This window comes from Homo sapiens, chromosome 19 (genome assembly GCF_000001405.40).
Source record: "Homo sapiens chromosome 19, GRCh38.p14 Primary Assembly".
NCBI classification, from domain to species: domain Eukaryota; kingdom Metazoa; phylum Chordata; class Mammalia; order Primates; family Hominidae; genus Homo; species Homo sapiens.
In genome coordinates this window covers 55,628,025-55,645,623 of record NC_000019.10, presented here as the reverse complement: position 1 = coordinate 55,645,623, position 17,599 = coordinate 55,628,025, and the positions used below count along the sequence as shown (strand labels likewise).

Genomic DNA, 17,599 nt, shown 5'->3' with positions numbered 1-17,599 from the left:
TCAGAGTGGGAAACGTGTTTATTGTTTGATCAGTCTCAGGCCTGGTTGGGGGGTGGAAGGCAGGACTGGGGTCCCTTCCCCAACAACAGCGCAGAAGCCCCAGGAAGATGGCGCAGATTCCTGACGACCCACAGCCACCTTTTATGAGGCCAGAGACTTTACACACCACACTCCCCACCTCCATCCAGTCAAGGCTCTGCCATGGAACAGCTGATATCTTTAGGCTAGAGGACTCCATTCTGTGTAGGGGCTCATTCCCATCTCAGCTCCAGAACACGGAGGACCTGAAGATTACTCACGGATTCCTCCTTCAGGCAGGGCTCTGCCTTTGAGATGCGGCTGCTCTGTGTCTGTGTCCAGGGCCCTGAACACCAGCCTCAGGCTCTCACCAGGTGTCTGGACAGGAGTCCAGGCTCCCTGCAAAGTCCTGTGGTACCTGGGGCACCCGGCAGCCCGGCTCATGGATGCTTCCACCGCGTGTGTTTCTGCAGTGTGTTCTGCTCCATAAAGCGGCGAGGGCAGTGTGGACACTGAAACGGGCGTTCCCCAGAGTGCACCCGGCTGTGCTGGGCCAGCTCACCCGCATCCCGGAAGCGGCGAGGGCAGAGCGGGCAGCCGTGGGGCCGCCCACCACCCGCCAGGTGAATGGAATGGTGCCGTGCCAAGTGGCTGGCGCGCTTGAATGCCTTCCCACAGATGTCACACTCGAAGGGCTTTACCTCCGAGTGGGTGATGCTGTGTCGCTGAAGGTAGGACATGTACTCGAAGACCCTTGAGCACACGGGGCAGCTGTAGCACTTTTTCTGGCCTGGAGCCCCACTGGCCCCTGGCTCCCTCTGTGACTCCTCGTCCACCAGCACTGTGTAGGGGACACCCTGAGTGTCAATAAGCAGGTAGTGGTTGGGCCTTGGAGGAGATGAAGCCTGGGGAGATCCGATGGAGGAGGAAGGTCCAGGTTCTGGGGAGCGGCAAGTCCGACGGGGAGGGCCCTCCATGGTCTCAACGGAGGAAAATGCCAGAGGCTGAGGGCAGGGGGATGGCAGCACCAGCATCCGGAGGGCTGGCTGAGGCCTGGTGGATGGGAGATGGGATAAGAAGGTTATATAGAAGAGGGCAGCTCAGCACCACAGGCTCCATCCTTTTCCCTCCCTATACCCGGCCCAGGACCTCTGCATCCTGCTGCCCCTCAGTCCCTCTTTTCCAGTCCCGCTCACAGCTGGAGTCTGTGGCCCCCTAAAAGGTCCCCAGGGTCTTCCTCCTTGGAAAACCTCTCCTAGCCTCGGTGCTCCACCATACACTGTACTCACAGGATCTCTTGACCTCCTCTGCACAACCTGGACCTCGCTCTAACCTTCCTCTTTGTGCCCTCCCAGGTCACTGGGTGCCCCACCCCGCAGGCCTCCAGGCCTCTCCCTCCCCTCCTTCTAGCCCTTTCCAGGGTCTGCGTGTTGGCCTATGCTACATACTCAAGCCTTTCCTGACCCCCTCCATACAAGCCAAGCCTATTCACAGGGGCTCCGACGTTAGGACCCCCAGGTTCCGGCCCTCTCTCCAGCCACGTGTCTGAACAACTCCGTGCTCCCACCCGTCCACCCACCTCAGGTTCTCTCTAGTCCTCGCCCGGCCTCCACCAGGCTCGTTCTAGGTCCCAGCGCTCTCCGGGGTTCCACCCCCGGGGCCGCAGCCCTCGCTTTCTGGGCCTTTCTGTGTAAGTTCTCGCCCCCTCCAAGCTCCAGAACAGCCCCCTCCGGCGTCTGCCCCACTCCCGCCCCGGCCCAGGTACCCTCCACGCGGTCCAGCCCCTCCCGCCGCCCGCCCCCAGCCCCCTTCCTCCTCCCGGCCCCCGTACCCAGTGCAGCAGCCTCTCAGGTCCGGGCGACTCCAAGCGGCCCCGGGCTACCCTCGCAGTTGCAGGCGGCGGCGAGAAGGGGACCTCTGGGTGTGCCCCAGGAACTGGCGGCGCCGGCCGAAAGAGAGAAGCCGAAGGGAGAGAAGAGGGTCTAGGGAAGGAAGGTTGGGGCGGGGCGCCCGGGCCGTCGCGAAACGGCTCCGGCCAGAAACACACACCGAGAGGAAAGTACCCAAGCGAGGAAGATCCGGTCTCCACCCCCCAGCACCCAACGTGCACGCACACGCAAGGAAGAGCCTGAAAATGGAGTGCGGAATGTTTATTGAGCAAAGGGTCGGGGGCGTGGGCGGAAGGGGGGTAGATACAGAAATGAACCAGACCGTGCCCGTGCTCTTTATCATCTCTTCCCCGCAGACAACCACCGGTTCACCGCTCCAGAGAGCAGAAAACCAAGGTTTAGAGAGGTCATGTCACTTGCACAGGCTCACACAGCACAGCTGGACTGGAACCCAGTTCCGACTGGTTCCCAGGCCCAGGGAGGGGCAACGACTTTGGTCTACATCACACAGCTAGAAAGGGGGTAAGGAAGGAATGATGCTCCTCCCTTTGGAAGGTGGGGAAACTGAGGCCCAGGGTAAGGCAGTAACCTCAGCAGAGCCAGGGGGTGTGTGTGGGAGTGAGTGACGCTGTGTGGGTCAGACTTGGTGGCCCTGAGACGGGCAGGGCAGCACAGGCCGGGTCTCGAGCTTAGTGGAGGCGCACGTGCTGCGCCAGCTCCGCGGCGTCCTGGAAGCGGCGTGGGCAGAGCGGGCAGGTGTGCGGCGGCCCGGCGCGGGCGCGGTGCGTGGCGCGATGCCGCGACAGGTGGCTGGAGCGCTTGAAGGCCTTGCCGCAGGCGCCGCACGTGAAGGGCTTGAGGTCCGAGTGCGACACGCGGTGGCTCTGCAGCCGCAGAGGGCTGGCAAAGACACGGGCGCACTCCGGGCAGCTGTAGCCCTTGCGAGGGCCGGGCTCTCCTGGGGGCGCCTCGCGCTGGGGCGGGCCCCGGGGCTCCTCCTCCAGCTGCACCGTGTATGTGTAGGGGACCCCATTGGCGTCGATGAGGAGGTGGCGGCCCAGCCGCGGGGGTCGGGGCCCCGCCGCCGAGGAAGGAGTGGAGGAGGGGCCTTCCGCCTTGGGGAAAGGGGGAGCCTTGGGGGGCGGTGGGTCCATGGCCTCCGGAGAGGAGGACCGAGGGTGGGGTGGCCGCGGCGGCAGCAGCAGCATCTGGAGCGGCAGCTGGGAGCGGCGGAGGGGAGATTAGTTAAAATTGCCACTTCCTTTTAGGAAAAGTTTCCTAAAATGGAAAGCATCCCCACTATCACTGCTTGTTACCCTTTGTGCGCCACTGACTACCTCCCTAGCAAAATAAAAACTGTGACTCCAGCCCGGCTCTCCCACGTTCCATCAAGCTGCCTCGGAGAGGGCCTCCAACTGAGCTCTGCAAAACCCCGCCACCACCTGCCACTCCTCCTGGGTCCACCTCTCACCACTCAGGTCAGGTCTGAGGACGTAGTCCCCCGACTTTTCTTCCCTTTTCTCCTCTCAACCCACCCCAGCAGACAATCAATCCCTAAATCTGTTTACCTCTTTACATCTTAGACCCCGGGCCTCCTGACCGCCGAGATTTCTCTAATCTGTGGTTTCTTCTTTTTTCCTGTTGCCCAGCCCCAGTTCAGTTTACTTCCCCTCCCTTTGCCGCCCCCTACCCCCCCACCGGCCCCCGTATCGGCCTCCTGGCCCTCCGTCCCCACTACATGCCGCAGGGCCTCCCCATCTTCATATTCCGTGGCCTCCCTCACTTCCTCTCTAGGTACCTCCCCAGAGCCCCACTAACCCAATTCCCCACATTTCACTAGGGCTTTTCCATCCTGTTCCTACACTTAGCACCTCGAAGTCTAGTCACCTCTCCCCACTACGGAACCCATCGTCTTACTACATCTATACACCCCAAAATGGCTCAAATGCCTTCCTTCTGTATACCCCGCCCCCCCAACCTGGCTACCTGCTACATTCTCCCCAAAGGCCCCCTTTTCTCTCGCCCCCCATATATGGCGGTGACATCGTTACTTCTTTCTGTACCCATCAGGGGCCTTCTCCCAAACCCCGTTATGCACACCAGGCTCCGGGACTCCGCTTCCCACAGCACCTCTCCCAAGCCCACTTTCCCCTCCTTTCTGTGTACGTCTGGCATCTCTCTTTCTCCTCGTGTTCACCTCTTCCAGGAGCCCCATCCCTCTCCCTGTTACACACAGCGTGGTCCCCCGCCCGTTCTTTTGCTCTGCTCCCCTTGTTTATGGGAACCCCAGCGCCCGGGCGTTTTCGCCCCCATCCCGCTACACACCGCCTGTCCCCTGGCCCTGGGGCCCCTCCTATTGCCTTCACTTCCCCAAGGAGCCCTGGCGCCTCGACTTCCCCTCCCGTCCCTCCGCCCGATCCTGCCGCTCCCGACCCCCACCCCCATCCCGGGTGGCTCCAGCGCACTCCCCCAGCCTGCCTGGCCCCGGCGTCGTCCCAGGGCCAGGCTCCTCCCTCCATCCCGGCCCCCGTACCCCGTGCGGCGGCCTCTCGGGTCCGGAGGAACGGGCCGAGGTCCCGGGCGGCCCCGGGCTTCCCCTGGCGAGCGCCGGCGGCGGAACCGAGACTTCCGGGCAGCTCCGGGCCGGCGGCGCCGGGGACGCGGGGACTGGGGGCGCGGGGGTGCGAGGGGTTGGCGGAGTCCCTGGGAAAAGGCGCCGGCCGGAAGCGCGCGAGCCCAGTGCGGAGGTTCCGCCGCCTGGAGCCGGCGCTCCCACCCCTCGCCTCTGCGGAGCGCCCTGCGGGGAGGGGACCGGAGGCGTGGGGTCCACTGAAGACGCCCGCCCCCGGCGGCCCCGCTCCCCTCCCACCTCCCGAACGGAACGATTCCGCCGCTTGACAAGAGATCGGCCAATAAACCGAGACTAAGCAAAGTTACGTCTTCGCCCTAAGGCCCACAAGGGTTTGTCCTCTTTCCACTGGGCCGTCGCTGCCTGCTCGGCCGTGGCCACCCACCGAGGTAGAGGGCGGGAGAAGGGATGTTCCTGCCGGCTGAGCAAATGTGGAGACCGAGGTCCAGAGACCAGCCATTGGCTCCGATGTGGCCGGGCCGTGATTCTCCACCCAGCAAATGGGGAGGCCGAGGCCCGGAGAAGGCCAGACGCTGCCAGATAGTTGGGGAAGGTATGTTCTTTCCACGGGGCACATGCGGGAACCGAGGCCCACAGAGGGCCAGACGGCTGCATGCGCAGGTGGGGAGGTGTGATATTTCCAGAAGGCATGTGGCGACACCGAAGCGCAGCGAAGGCCAGGCTTTGCCAGATGCGGAGGTGGGAAAGGCTGGCACTGCCCACGGGGCCCACTGGAAGCCTGATGCGGGCTCGCGGGCTGCGCCAGGTCCTGGGGCACTTGAGGCCCGGGCGCTGGCTGCGCATGCGAAGGACTCCGGCGTCGAAAGCAACGCGCGGTGGCGCTGCAGCCGCACTGGAGAGCTGCACACGCGGCAGCACTCGGGGCAGCTGCAGCTCCTCCTCCAGCCACGTGGCGCCACGGCCTCGCAGGAGGGCGGCAGCAGCAGCATCTGCAGGTGCAGCTGAGAGTGGGGGACAGAAGAGGAGTAACTGTCACAGCGAGCCCCAAGACCCTGGGGTGCCACAGCTACATCCTAGAGCACTGTCCATCAGAACTTTCTGCAATGGTGGAAAGTTCTATGACAGTCACTAGCCACGTGGGACTCTTACACTCTTGAAATGTGGCTGGTGTATCAGAGGACCTGAATTTTAAATTGTATTACATTTCCCATAATCAGCACGGTGGCTCACACCTGTAACCCCAGCACTTTCGGAGGCCAAGGCGGGCGGATCACCTGAGGTCAGGAGTTCGAGACCAGCCTGGCCAACATGGTGAAACTCCTTCTCTACTAAAAGTACAAAAATTAGCCGGCCGTAGTGGTGCTCCCCTACAGTCCCAGCTACTTGGGAGGCTGAGGCAGGAGAATCGCTTGAACCCAGGAGGTGGAGGTTGCAGTGTGCCAAGATCGTGCCACTATACTGCAGCCTGGGCAACAGAGGGAGACTGTCTCAAAAAATACTAATTTCCCATAATCAAAATTTAAGCCACATATGGCTCCTACCTTATGGAACAATTCCAGAGACCACTGTCAACCAGTTGTAAACTGGAGGCCCAAGGGCCCAAAAGGCCTCACAGTTATATTTGGTTTGGGACACAAGGTACTTTTTAAACATTTTACTGGGCAGTATGTATATTTTTTGAGACAGAGTCTCACTCTGTCGCCCACGCTGGAGTGCAGTGGCATGCTTCTGGCTCACTGCAGCCTCACCCTCCCAGGCACAAGTGATCCTTCCACTTCAGTCTCCCAAACAGCTGGGACTACAGGCGTGGGCCACCACACATTTTGAGCCGGACCACTCTTTGTTGTGGGGGCCCATCCTGTGCACTGTAGAGTGTTGAGCAGCATCCTTGGCCTCCACCCACCAGATGGCAGTAGCACCCTCCCCCAACCCCAAGTTGTGACAACCCAAAATGTCTCTACACATTGCCCGTGTCCTCTAGGAGGCAACATGGCTCCTAGCTGAGAACCCCTGGTCTACTTAGACAATTATCCAACCTGAGTGTCTTGCCAAGATCCCTGATATAGTTAAGATGTCTGTCCCCTCCAAATCTTTTTTTTTTCTTTTTTTTTTTTTTTTTTGGAGATGGAGTCTTGCTCTGTTGCCCAGGCTAAAGTGCAGTGGCGCAATTCTAGGCTCACTGCAACCTCCAACTCCCGGGCTCAGGTGATTCTCCTGTTTCCACCTCCCAAATAGCTGAGATTACAGGTATGCACTACCACGCCCAGCTGTATTATATAAAATATAACAATTTTATATTTTTGGTAGAGACAGGTTTCACCATATTAGCCACCTGGTCTCCAACTCCTGACCTCAGGTGATCCACCTGCCTCAGCCTCCCAAAGTGCTGGGATTACAGGGTTGAGCCACCACACCTGGCCTCCTCCAAATCTCATGTTGAAATGTAATCCCCAGTGTTGGAGACGGGGCTTGGTGGGAGGCATTTGGATCATGGGGGTGGATCCTTCATGAATGGCTTGGTGCCATCCTCGAGGTAATGAGTGAGATCTCGCTGAGTTCACATGAGATCTAGTTGTTTAAAAGAGCATGTCAGGCTGAGCGTGGTGGCTCACGCCTGTAATCCCAACACTTTGGGAGGGCGAGGCGGGCAGATTACGAGGTCAAGATCAAGACCATCCTGGCCAACACGGTGTAACCTGGTCTCTACTAAAAACACAAAAATTAGCTGGGCGTGGTGGCAGGCGCCTGTAGTCCCAGCTACTTGGGAGGCTGAGGCAGGAGAATCACTTGAACCCGGGATGCAGAGGTTGCAGTGAACCGAGATTGTGCCACTGCACTCCAGCCTGGCAACAGAGCAAGACTCCATCTAAACAAACAAACAAACAAACAAACAAAAAAGCGTGTCACCTCCTGCCAGTCTTTTCCCCCCACCATGAGATATGCCAACTACCCCTTTACCTTTCACCATGATTGTAAGCTTCCTGAAGCCCTCGCCAGAAGCAGCTGCCAGGACCACACGTCCTGTATAGCCTGCAGAACCGTAAACCAATTAAGCTTCTTTTGTTTATAAATTACCCAGCCTCAGGTATTCACTCATAGAGACACAATGAAACTAACACAATCCCTCTCTTGAGTTTCAGACCATATAACTAGTGGCACTGTAGTGGCCACAACCCCCACCCCCACTGCTATCCCCAGAAATAATGACAACAATAAGCAACATTTATTGAGCCCTCACTCGGGAACAGCCATTGCTAAACGCACAGCATCCTCAGGGCAGAGCTACAAGGAAAGCACCATGAGGATCCCTGTTTTACAGATGAGGGAAGCAGAGCTCAAAGAGATCGTGTGATTGGCCTGAGGTCACACATCCGCAGGCGGGATGGCCAGGATAGCACCTGCCTCTGCCCACACCAGGTCAGTGCACATGACCCCTGTCAGCAAGCCACACACTTCCCTGTAATCCCACCATCGCCGCTGCCACCCCAGCGCAAACCACCACCACTTACGCCCAGCTTATAGCAGCAGCAGCCTCCGCCTCCATCACTCTCTCCCTCCCCTCTCGTTTTTTTTGTTGCTGTGTCTTTTTTCAGACAGAGTCTCACTCTGTCGCCCAGGCTTGAGTACAGTGGCACGATCTCAGCTCACTGCAGCCTCCACCTCCCAGGTTCAAGCGATTCTCCCGCCTCAGCCTCCTGAGTAGCTGGGATTACAGGCGCGCACCACCATGGCCGGCTAATTTTTTGTAATTTTAGAAGAGACAGGGTTTCACCCTGTTGCCCAGACTGGTCTCGAACTCCTGGCCTCAAGCGATCCGCCTGCCTCAGCCTCCCAAAGTCCTGGGATTATAGGCGTGAGCCACCATGCCTGGCCTTCTCCCTCCCTTCCCTATGGCAATTTCCAAGTGATTTTTTAAGCTCACAGAATCATTCCCTGACTTAAAACCTTCCCCTCTGAGACACAGCAACATATTGAGACCCTGTCTCTCCAAAAAAAATGATAATAATAATTAGGCAGAGGTGGTGGTGCCTGCCTACAGTCCCAACTACCCAGGAAGCTGAGACAGGATTGCCTGAGCCCAGGAGTTTCAGACTGCAGTGCGTCATGATCAAAACCTTCCCCTCTGCCCTTAGAGTAAACCCAGACACTCTGCAAGGCCCTGCGTAGACTGGCCCCCCAGCTGCCTTCCCTTCTGGGCACCATGGTGCTGGCTTTCCCTTGCCCAGTGCACCAGCCTCTCCCATCTGGAGAGCTTTTGTGCTAGCTCCTCCCCTCTCTGTGATGTTCCTTTCAGCCCCTCACAAGAGTGACTCCTTCCTGGCCTTCAGGTTTCAGCTCACAGAACACTTGGTCATAGCAGCTTTTAGTGACCGTGGTAGCTCCAGGTGCCCTGCTCTGCGTCCTCCGTCTGTTCATTTCCTTCACATCCCACAGCACAATCCATGATATGGCCTCGTTGATCTACTGCCTGCTGTGTTACTGCCTGCCTTCCCCACTCTCCAAGGCCCAGCTCCATCCTGGTCAACATTCTACCCTCAGAATCTATCAAAGGTCTTTCAGGAAACGGTAAGGAATCAATTCGATATTGGTTGAATGAATACATGAATGAATTTGATCGCCCCATCCAAAAGTGAAGCATTACCTCCCTACCCAGCTCCCCACCAAAGAGAACCCCTGCTCAACCCCAAGACATGATCATGAGGAAGCCACACCATCTAGACAAAATTCTTGCCACACCATCTAGAACTTTGGACGTCCCCATTTCCACCCACTCCCTCACTCCCCAAAGCCAGACAAGCACCAAGTTCCATCACCTCCACCCCCTGAGGGCACTGACCTCCGTTCTCCAAGCCAAGTTCTGGCCCCTTCCTTCTCACCTGGACCACCATATCTGGTACCCTGGCCTCCAGTTCCCCTCCCACACTGGCCTGACCCTGACAGATGCTTCTCACAGCTGTGTTGAATGCAACTTCAGCACCATGCATAACATTCTCCCGGCCCCCTTTACCCTCAGGACCAAGTCCGAGTTTCTCAGCCTAGAATTTGAGGCCCTTTGTGAGGTGGCCCAGCCACTTCCTCACCTCACTTCTCATTCCTGTGCTCCAAGCACACACGGCATCTCACAGCCCCCTGGCCAGACCTTGAATTTACACAGCTCCACACGCAAAGGCTTATGTGTTTTCCTCGCCCTGGGAATTCTTCCCCTTTCCTCTACTGGCAGCCTTCTCCTTAGCCTTCTGGAATCATGTATTCTGACCTCTCAAGTTGGCTAGGTGTCACCTATATGCCCTGCTCACCAGTCCACCAGCTCCTCTTTTTAAAATCCTCCCTATAGTATAACCCCCTCAGCCTGCCATGAAAGGCCTCTCACAACCTGGCCTCAGCCACCTTTCCCACCCTTGCCCTCACCCAACCTGTTCCAGACAGCTGCAGCGAATCATTCTGACTTCTCCATTTACACCTCAAATCTTGGGCCACTGTGACTGATTACTCATGTCCCCAAACTTCAGTTCACACTGCATATTCATATCCAGGGTCTCGATGAATCCTCTCAACGGTCCAGCGAGGCTGGCAATCAGATGCACTCCACAGCGCAGAGGGGGCAGAGGCCACTCAGATCTCCGGCCGGAGTGACCGATTGACCCCCGCTCCAGCACCCTCACCTCCCTCTGGCTGCCCAAACCCTCCCCAGCCTGCAGTCTGGGTCCTGCCTCCTTCAGGAACCTTTTCCTGGCCACCCCCTCTTCTCAAGGTCCACTATTCATCCCACTTTGTCTTCCCATGGGAAATAGCCCCTTCTCCCCTCGGGAAATAATACAGTGATGCCCAGGCCTGTGCCTCTGGGGCAATTGGGATCCAAGAAGCCCACCCTCAAGGCTTTCCGCCCTCCTCTTCCTATACCTCGTCCCCTGGTCACCGTAGCCCCTCCCCAAGCCTCCTTCGCAGGGCCTCTCAGTTTCCAACGCCCACTGCCCTGGGGGCCACTCTGTCCCACACCCCAAGTCCCTCACTTGGGCAGGACTCTTAAGAATGCCGTCACTGCTGAACCTGCTCACTCCCCGCAATCCGGCCCGGTCTCCCTATCCCTACGCAGCAAACTTTCACGTCCGGAAGCGGCCGCAGTGACGACTTCCGGGATGCTCCGACTTCTCCAGCAGCTTCCGGATTCGGAGAGCAGCAGGAAAGCACTCGGGCCAGAAACGCACCCACAAGAGAAAGGTTCCTGCGTCGCGCACCTTGCTACTCCACACACACACTACACAAAAGTTAAAATGAAATCACTATTTGGCGCCGTGCCGGATGCTGAGGGAGGGAATACAACAGAGATGGCTTTTGTCAAAAAAAAAAAAAAAAAAGGACTTTTCTTTCTTTTTTTTTTTTTTTTTTTTTTTTGAGACGGAGTCACGCTCTGTTGCCCAGGCTGGAGTGCAGTGTGTGATCTCGGCTCGCTGCAACCTCCACCTCCCGGGTTCAAGCTATTCTCCTGCCTCAGCCTCCCGAGTAGCTGGGATTACAGGTACACACCACCACCCTCGGCTAATTTTTGTACTTTTAGTAGAGATGGGGATTTCACCATGTTGGCCAGGCTGGTCTTGAACTCCTGACCTCAAGTGATCCACCCACCTCGGCCTCCCAAAGTGCTGGGATTACAGGCGTGTGCCACCGTACCCGGCCAGGAAAGACTTTCTAGAGTAGGAAAGACAGTACAAAGTCTTTCTACAAATAGGACCTGAAATCAGAAAGGTCTAGTGATTTGTCTGTTGCTACAGAGCAAAGGCAGAGGGCTGAAATTCTTCAACTCATGAGACAGTTGAAGACAGTCAGGCCCTAACTCTTGATTTGCTCCATGGCAAGAAAATGGAGTACCGTATCCCTATTGGTTAGGTGGTAACGCCAAGGCCATAGAGGGGCAGTCATTGGCCCTGGATCACACTGCTAGTCAAAGCTGGCTAGTAGGATGTAAAGACTTTTATTTTAAAAGTCTCAGGGCTGCCAAATTCATTATGCCAAAGGGAAGGTTAAGCCTGGAGACTGAGTTATGCAACACTGCTATCTGCTTCCCAGATCAACAGCTGTTGCTTCAGAACCTTGTGTCAAAGCATTACACGTTAGCCAGACCCTCACAGAAAAACAAAGCGCCTCAAGTACCTCCACGTGACCACCAGTACACATTGTTGTTTGCTGTCCTCCATCCTCCCATAAAACAAGAACATGGGCCGAGTGCTGTGGCTCACGCCTGTAATCCCAACAATTTGGGAGGTCGAGGCGGGCGGATCACCTGAGGTCAGACGTTCAAGACCAGCCTGGCCAACATAGTGAAACCCCATCTCTACTAAAAAAAAAAATACAAAAAAAAAATTAGTCAGGCGTGGTGGCGCACACCTGTAATCCTAACTACTTGGGAGGCCCAGGCAGGAGAATCGCTTGAACCTGGGAGCTGGAGGTTCCAGTGAGCCAAGATGGCGCCACTGCATTCCAGTGTGGATGACAGAGTGACTCTGTCTCAAATAAAAATAATAATAAGAAGAAGAACATGTCCCTTGTAACTTTAGGTTTGCAATCTAAGTCTAGCTCCTAAAACTAAAGTCTGTTAGGTTTCCCACTGATAATGCTTATCTTCCCAGGTACAGAACAAAAACGATGAGCTCAATCATTCTTCCATCTGTCACCCTCTTCCCACCTGCCTTCCCTCCTTTAAGGAAATGTATAAATACTAAGCCTCCTGAAAACCTTTCCATAAGCCACAGAGGTTTTCTGTGACTCTTGCCTTTCCCAGGTCTGCCCTCAAGCTCTGGATATATAAGCTCTGGAGTGATTGAGGCTCTTGCCTCAGTAACTTATTTTGGTTAACAATGATGTCACTTCCCTCTGCAAGGCTATGTGATGGAGGGAAATGATATCCAGCTCTAAAGATAACCTAAAGAGGCCGGACGGGGTGGCTCACACCTGTAATCCCAGCACTTTGGGAAGCTGAGGCGGAGGATCATCTGAGGTCGGGAGTTCGAGACCAGCCTGACCAACATGGAGAAACCCCGTCTCTACTAAAAATACACAATTAGCCGGGCGTGGTGGCGTGTGACTGTAATCCCAGCTACTCAGGAGGCTGGGGCAGGAGAAGTACTTGAACCCAAGAAGCGAAGGTTGCAGTAAGCCGAGATGGCACCATTGCACTCCAGCCTGGGCAACAAGAGTGAAACCCTGTCTCAAAAAATAAATAAATAAAATCAAGTAGGTGGCCTCAGCCTTCTCAGCCGGCCAGGATATGCTGGGCCAACTCCTGGAAATGTTGGGAACAGTGGGCAGAGAGGCAGTGACCGTCCACCCAGCTGGTTAGCCAGTGTTGGCAGAGGCTGCTGGAGTACTTAAAAGACCTTTCCACTGGACCACACACATGTTCATATCATAGGGCCAGGAGGATGCTGAGTGTGAGACATGATGCTGTGTGAAGTAGAGCAGGCTCGTGAAGGTTTGTAGGAACTCAGGGCAAGGCTGGGAACTGGGCCCTCTTTCTTTGCCTCCTCCTGAGCTGTCTTCTTAAACCACAGTACTACGTGTGTAGGGCACCCCCTGGTGGTCAATAAGGTAATGACAGTTTGGACTTAAGGATACAAGTGAGGACAAAATAGGTGAGCAACTCATCCTGGTTTGGGAGAAGTCCTGGGACTATCCAGTTTTAAAACTGAGAGGAAAAAATAAAGAAGAACAAGGCAAGAAAATAGATGTCTTAGATTTGGCAAATCACCACCATCTGGCTGTTGACAAGGAGACAAGTTATTCCCATTTTATCGATGGGGCTGCTGAGACCAGAGAGTAAACTGCCCATTCACAAAGTCCAGCAGGTGCAGAGTTAAAATAGATTACCCGCCTCCTGAGCGAGACTAACGGGGGAAAGAAGACCAGCAGTTACCCTAGGTGGCAAGTAAATCTTTCTCACTTTTTTTTTTTTTTTTTTTTTTTTTTTTTGAGAAGGAGTTTCGTTCTCGTTGCCCAGGCTGGAGTGCAATGGCGAGATCTCAGCGCTGCTCACCGCGACCTCCGCCTCCCGCGCTCAAGCAATTCTCCTGCCTCAGCCTCCCGAGTAGCTGGGATTACAGGCATGTGCCACCACTCCGGGCTAATTTGTATTTTTAGTAAAGACGGGGTTTCTCCATGTTGATCAGGCTGGTCTGGAACTCCTGACCTCAGGTGATCCGCCCGCTTCGGCCTCCCATAGTGCTGGGATTACAGGCCTGAGCCACCGCACCTGGCGGATTGATCTTTATTGGACACCTGCTGCGACAGGGAACCCTCCTAGGCCTCGTGGGGGCGACAAAGACCAAAATATCAAAATGTCTCACCCACCTTAGAACCTGGAAGAAGCAGGTAGGGACTACTGTGTTTCCTCTAGCCTGCAGAAGCTCAAGTTCAAAGACTCGTTCAGCCTCACTAAGGAACCTTACGTAACTCACGACTAGAATTTGGAAGAAGGCCCTTTGGTTTCTCAAATTCAGCAGTAACATTTCACAGATAAGGAAACTGAGGACCAGAGAGGTTGAATGAAATTATGGCGATAGGCCTGGTGCGGTGGCTCACGCCTGTAATCCCAGCACATTGAGAGGCCGAGGTGGGTGGATCAGGAGGTCAGGAGTTTGAGCCCAGCCTGGCCAAGATGGTGAAACCCCGTCTCTACTAAAAATACAAAAATTAGCTGGGTGTGGTGGCAGACGCCTGTAATCCCAGCTACTCGGGAGGCTGAGGCAGGGAACTGCTTGAACCCAGGAGGTGGAGGTTGCAGTGAGCCAAGATCGCGCCACTGCACTCCAGCCTGGGTGACAGGGCAAGACTCCGTCTCAAAAAAAAAAAGAAAGAAATTATGGCGGCTAGACACGGTAGCTCACGTCTGTCATCCCAGCACTTTGGGAGGTCAAGTCGGGAGGATTGCTTGAGCCCAGGAGTTCAAGACCAGCTTGGGCAACATGGTGAAGCCCTGTCTCTACAAAAAAATACAAAACAGCCGGGCATGATGGCGTGAACACTTGTAGTCCAAGTTACTCAGGAAGCTGAGGTGGGAGGATCACTTGAGCCCAGGAGGTCGAGGCTGCAGTGAGCTATGATTGTGCCACTGCACTCCAGCCTGGATGACAAAGCAAGACCCCATCTCAAAAAAAAAAAAAAAAGAAAGAAAGAAAGAAACAAAGAAAGAAAGAAAAAGAGACCGGGCGTGGTGGCTCACGCCTGTAATCCCAGAACTTTGGGAGGCCGAGGCGGGCGGATCACGACGTCAGGAGATCGAGACCATCCTGGCTAACACGGTGAAACCCTGTCTCTACTAAAAATACCAAAAAAAAAAAAAAAAAAAATAGCCAGGCGAGGTGGCGGGTGCCTGTAGTTCCAGCAACTCGGGAGGCTGAGGCAGGAGAATGGCGTGAACCCGGGAAGACAGAGCTTGCAGTGAGCCGAGATTGCGCCACTGCACTCCAGCCTGGGCGACAGAGCAAGATTCTGTCTCAGAAAAAAAAAAAAAGAAAAAGAAAGAAAGAAGGAAAAAGAAAAAGGGGCCGGGCACAGCAGCTCATGCCTGTAATCCCAGCACTTTGGGGGGCCGAGGCAGGCGGATCACTTGAGGTCAGGAATTCGAGACCATCCTGGCCAACATGGTGAAACTCTGTCTCTACTACAAATACAAAAATTAGCCGGGCGTGGTGGCAGGCGCCTGTATTCCCAGCTACTTGGGAGGCTGAGGCAGGAAACTCGCTTGAGCCCAAGAGGTAGAGGCTGCAGTGAGCCAAGATCATGCCACTGCACTCCAGCCTGGGCGACAGAGTGAGACTTTCTGTCAAAAAACAAACAAACTGGCCCGGCGCGGTGGCTCACGCCTGTAATCCCAGCACTTTGGGATGCCGAGGCGGGCAGATCACGAGGTCAGGAGATCGAGACCATTCTGGCTAACACAGTGAAACCCCGTCTTTACTAAAAATACGAAAAATCAGCCGGGCGTGGTGGCGGGTGCCTGTAGTCCCAGCTACTCGGGTGGCTGAGGCAGGGGAATGGTGTGAACCCTGGGGGCAGAGCTTGCAGTGAGCCGAGATTGCGCCACTGCACTCCAGCCTGGGAGACAGAGCAAGACTCTGCCTAAAAAATAAAAATAAAAATAAAATTGCATAGTAAACATCCATATACCTACCATACCAGGTTTATAGTTTTTAAATATCATCTGCAGTTTGATCCTGAAAGGTCATCATGTTCAGCCGATTATTTTTTTAAACTGCTTTATTGAGGTGTAATTCACATATCACTACATATATAATTCGCCATTTAGAGGTGTGTGTGTGTGTGTGTGTGTGTGTGTGTGTGTGTGTATGTGTGTTTTTGAGACATATTCTTGCTCTGTGCCCAGGCTGGAATGCACTGGCACGATCTCGGCTCACTGCAACCTCTGTCTCTTGGGTTCAAGCGATTCTCCTGCCTCAGCCTCCGGAGTAGCTGCGATTACAGGCCCAGCTAATTTTTGTATTTGTAGTGGAGACGGGGTTTCACCATGTTGGCCAGGCTGGTCTCCAACTCCTGACCGCAGGTGATCCTCCTGCCTTGGCCTCCCAAACTGCTGGGATTACAGGCGTGAACCACCGCGCCTGGCCTCTTTGTAGTTTTTTTGAGACGGAGTCTCACTCTGTTGCCCAGGCTGGATTGCAATGGCACGGTCATGGCTCACTGCAGCCTCAACCGCCTGGGCTCAGGAAATCCTCCCACCTCAGCCTGCTAAGTAGCTGGGACTACAGGCATGCACCACTACACCGGGCTTTTTTTGTTTTTGTTTTTTGTTTTTGTTTGTTTGTTTGGTTTTTGGTAGAGATGGCTGTCATGATGTGTTGCCCAGGCTGGTCTGGAACTGCTGGGCTCAAGGGATCCTCCTGCCTCTGCCTCCTAAAGTGCTAGAATTAGAGGCGGAAGCCACTGAACCCCACCCAATTCACCCATTTAAAGTGTATAATTCAATAGTCAGTATATTCATAGTTGTGTGCACATATCATGATAGTCAACGTTAGAACACTTTCATCACCTCAAAAAGAGATCCCATGCCCTTTAGGTATCACTCCTCTATTCTTCCTTCCCCCCAACTCTCTATCCCCACCCAACCTAAGGAACCACAAAGCTACACTCTGCCTCTATAGATTTCCCTATTCTGGTGTTAATAGAATCTTAATAATATGTGGTCCTTTGTGCCTGGCTTCTTTCACTTAATATATTTTTAAATTTTATTTTATTGACACATAATATTTTACAGAGTTTGGGGTACATGTATTTGTTACACGCATAGAATGTGTAATGATCAAATCAAATCGGGGCATTTGGGGTAACCACCATCTTGAGTGTTTATCATTTCTATGTGTTGGGAACATTGCAAGTGCTCTCTCCTAGCTACTTTGAAATACACGGACTGGGCGTGGTGGCTCACACCTGTAATCCCAGGACTTTGGGAGGCCAAGGCGGGTAGATCACCAGGTCAGGAGTTCTAGACCAGCCTGGCCAACATGGTGAAACCCCATCTCTACTAAAAACACAAAAATTAGCTGGGCGTGGTGGTGGGCACCTATAATCCCAGCTACTCAGGAGGCTGAGGCAGGAGAATCGCTTGAACCCGGGAGGCAGAGGTTGCAGTGAACCGCGATCGAGCCACTGCACTCCGGCCTGGGCAACAAGAGCGAAACTCCATCTCAAAAAAAAAAAAAAAAAAGTATGTCTTCTCTGTAACTATGTTGGTACCCATTAACCAACCTTCATTCATCCCTCCTTCCACCACACACCCTTCCCAGCCTCTAAGTTAGCATAATGCTTTAAAGGTTCATCCATGTTGTCATGTGGATCAGTATTTTATTCATTTATGGCCAAATAATATTCCACTCTATGGATATACCACATGTTGTTTATGTTTATGGACATCTGGGCTGTTTCTGCTTTTTGGCTGTTATGAATAGCATTTGTTTACAAGTTTCTGTGTGAATGTATATTTTCAGTTTTCTTGGGCACATAGAAAAATGAAAGGGAGAGGAACTGCAGAGCCATCTAGCTAATTCTATCAGCCAATTTCTTTTAAAAGGCAGGAAATCTAGGCTCCGTGAGG

At 54.5% G+C, this 17,599-nt stretch overlaps 2 protein-coding genes and 1 long non-coding RNA gene across 7 annotated transcripts, besides 12 other annotated features; all 3 read right to left on the bottom strand.

The window, feature by feature from the left end:
• Positions 1–10,621, bottom strand: ZNF581 (zinc finger protein 581). Of its 2 annotated transcripts, none has more exons than XM_017026867.2 (2): positions 10,509–10,621; positions 1–1,071 (listed from the first exon to the last, which is right to left on the bottom strand). In XM_017026867.2, exon 2 carries the CDS (start codon positions 1,050–1,052, stop codon positions 459–461), a length of 594 nt encoding a protein of 197 aa, XP_016882356.1. In that variant the 5' UTR covers positions 1,053–1,071; positions 10,509–10,621; the 3' UTR covers positions 1–458. The 2 variants fall into 2 exon arrangements, with proteins under 2 accessions (XP_016882356.1, NP_057619.1); NM_016535.4 differs by lacking the exon at positions 10,509–10,621 and adding an exon at positions 1,850–1,975.
• Positions 76–1,041: an enhancer, noted in NCBI's record as "H3K27ac-H3K4me1 hESC enhancer chr19:56155949-56156914 (GRCh37/hg19 assembly coordinates)". NCBI's record gives its function as "activates a minimal SCP1, AML or CMV promoter by ChIP-STARR-seq in primed H9 embryonic stem cells {active_cell/tissue: H9 hESC(primed)}" and the evidence as "EXISTENCE:reporter gene assay evidence [ECO:0000049][PMID:30033119]".
• Positions 283–332: an enhancer, noted in NCBI's record as "active region_15104". NCBI's record gives its function as "activates an Ori minimal core promoter by ATAC-STARR-seq in GM12878 lymphoblastoid cells {active_cell/tissue: GM12878}" and the evidence as "EXISTENCE:reporter gene assay evidence [ECO:0000049][PMID:35858748]".
• Positions 343–392: an enhancer, noted in NCBI's record as "active region_15103". NCBI's record gives its function as "activates an Ori minimal core promoter by ATAC-STARR-seq in GM12878 lymphoblastoid cells {active_cell/tissue: GM12878}" and the evidence as "EXISTENCE:reporter gene assay evidence [ECO:0000049][PMID:35858748]".
• Positions 573–682: a silencer, noted in NCBI's record as "silent region_11054". NCBI's record gives its function as "represses an Ori minimal core promoter by ATAC-STARR-seq in GM12878 lymphoblastoid cells {active_cell/tissue: GM12878}" and the evidence as "EXISTENCE:reporter gene assay evidence [ECO:0000049][PMID:35858748]".
• Positions 1,773–1,822: a silencer, noted in NCBI's record as "silent region_11053". NCBI's record gives its function as "represses an Ori minimal core promoter by ATAC-STARR-seq in GM12878 lymphoblastoid cells {active_cell/tissue: GM12878}" and the evidence as "EXISTENCE:reporter gene assay evidence [ECO:0000049][PMID:35858748]".
• Positions 1,943–2,162: an enhancer, noted in NCBI's record as "active region_15102". NCBI's record gives its function as "activates an Ori minimal core promoter by ATAC-STARR-seq in GM12878 lymphoblastoid cells {active_cell/tissue: GM12878}" and the evidence as "EXISTENCE:reporter gene assay evidence [ECO:0000049][PMID:35858748]".
• On the bottom strand, positions 2,154–4,622 carry ZNF580 (zinc finger protein 580). 3 transcript variants are annotated; one of them, NM_207115.2, is made up of 2 exons: positions 4,441–4,622; positions 2,154–3,127 (listed from the first exon to the last, which is right to left on the bottom strand). In NM_207115.2, the coding sequence occupies exon 2, from the start codon at positions 3,113–3,115 to the stop codon at positions 2,597–2,599; it is 519 nt and encodes a 172-aa protein (NP_996998.1). In that variant the 5' UTR covers positions 3,116–3,127; positions 4,441–4,622; the 3' UTR covers positions 2,154–2,596. The 3 variants fall into 3 exon arrangements, with proteins under 3 accessions (NP_996998.1, NP_001156895.1, NP_057286.1); NM_001163423.2 differs by lacking the exon at positions 4,441–4,622 and adding an exon at positions 3,476–3,527; NM_016202.2 differs by lacking the exon at positions 4,441–4,622 and having other exon boundaries at positions 2,154–3,572.
• Positions 2,593–3,062: a silencer, noted in NCBI's record as "silent region_11052". NCBI's record gives its function as "represses an Ori minimal core promoter by ATAC-STARR-seq in GM12878 lymphoblastoid cells {active_cell/tissue: GM12878}" and the evidence as "EXISTENCE:reporter gene assay evidence [ECO:0000049][PMID:35858748]".
• Positions 2,767–3,061: a silencer, noted in NCBI's record as "tiled region #1979; HepG2 Repressive DNase matched - State 1:Tss, and K562 Repressive non-DNase unmatched - State 4:PromP". NCBI's record gives its function as "represses a minimal TATA promoter and a strong SV40 promoter by Sharpr-MPRA in HepG2 and K562 cells {active_cell/tissue: HepG2 | K562}" and the evidence as "EXISTENCE:reporter gene assay evidence [ECO:0000049][PMID:27701403]".
• Positions 4,253–4,772: a silencer, noted in NCBI's record as "silent region_11051". NCBI's record gives its function as "represses an Ori minimal core promoter by ATAC-STARR-seq in GM12878 lymphoblastoid cells {active_cell/tissue: GM12878}" and the evidence as "EXISTENCE:reporter gene assay evidence [ECO:0000049][PMID:35858748]".
• LOC107983998 (uncharacterized) lies at positions 4,825–10,621 on the bottom strand. Of its 2 annotated transcripts, NR_171682.1 has the most exons (3): positions 9,912–10,621; positions 7,456–7,527; positions 4,825–5,498 (listed from the first exon to the last, which is right to left on the bottom strand). It is a non-coding gene; the product is annotated as an uncharacterized LOC107983998 (long non-coding RNA). The 2 variants fall into 2 exon arrangements; NR_171683.1 differs by lacking the exon at positions 7,456–7,527.
• Positions 10,000–10,167: a silencer, noted in NCBI's record as "fragment chr19:56146823-56146990 (GRCh37/hg19 assembly coordinates)". NCBI's record gives its function as "represses an EF-1alpha promoter that drives an FKBP-Casp9 reporter gene in an ReSE screen in both phorbol 12-myristate 13-acetate-treated (for megakaryocytic differentiation) and untreated K562 erythroleukemia cells {active_cell/tissue: K562 | K562(+PMA)}" and the evidence as "EXISTENCE:reporter gene assay evidence [ECO:0000049][PMID:32094911]".
• Positions 10,287–10,376: an enhancer, noted in NCBI's record as "active region_15101". NCBI's record gives its function as "activates an Ori minimal core promoter by ATAC-STARR-seq in GM12878 lymphoblastoid cells {active_cell/tissue: GM12878}" and the evidence as "EXISTENCE:reporter gene assay evidence [ECO:0000049][PMID:35858748]".
• Positions 10,447–10,666: an enhancer, noted in NCBI's record as "active region_15100". NCBI's record gives its function as "activates an Ori minimal core promoter by ATAC-STARR-seq in GM12878 lymphoblastoid cells {active_cell/tissue: GM12878}" and the evidence as "EXISTENCE:reporter gene assay evidence [ECO:0000049][PMID:35858748]".

Excerpts from the sequence above, each read along its gene's own strand:
- ZNF581 (XM_017026867.2), bottom strand. The coding sequence starts at position 1,052 with ATGCTGGTGCTGCCATCCCCCTGCCCTCAGCCTCTGGCATTTTCCTCC.
- ZNF580 (NM_207115.2), bottom strand. The coding sequence starts at position 3,115 with ATGCTGCTGCTGCCGCCGCGGCCACCCCACCCTCGGTCCTCCTCTCCG.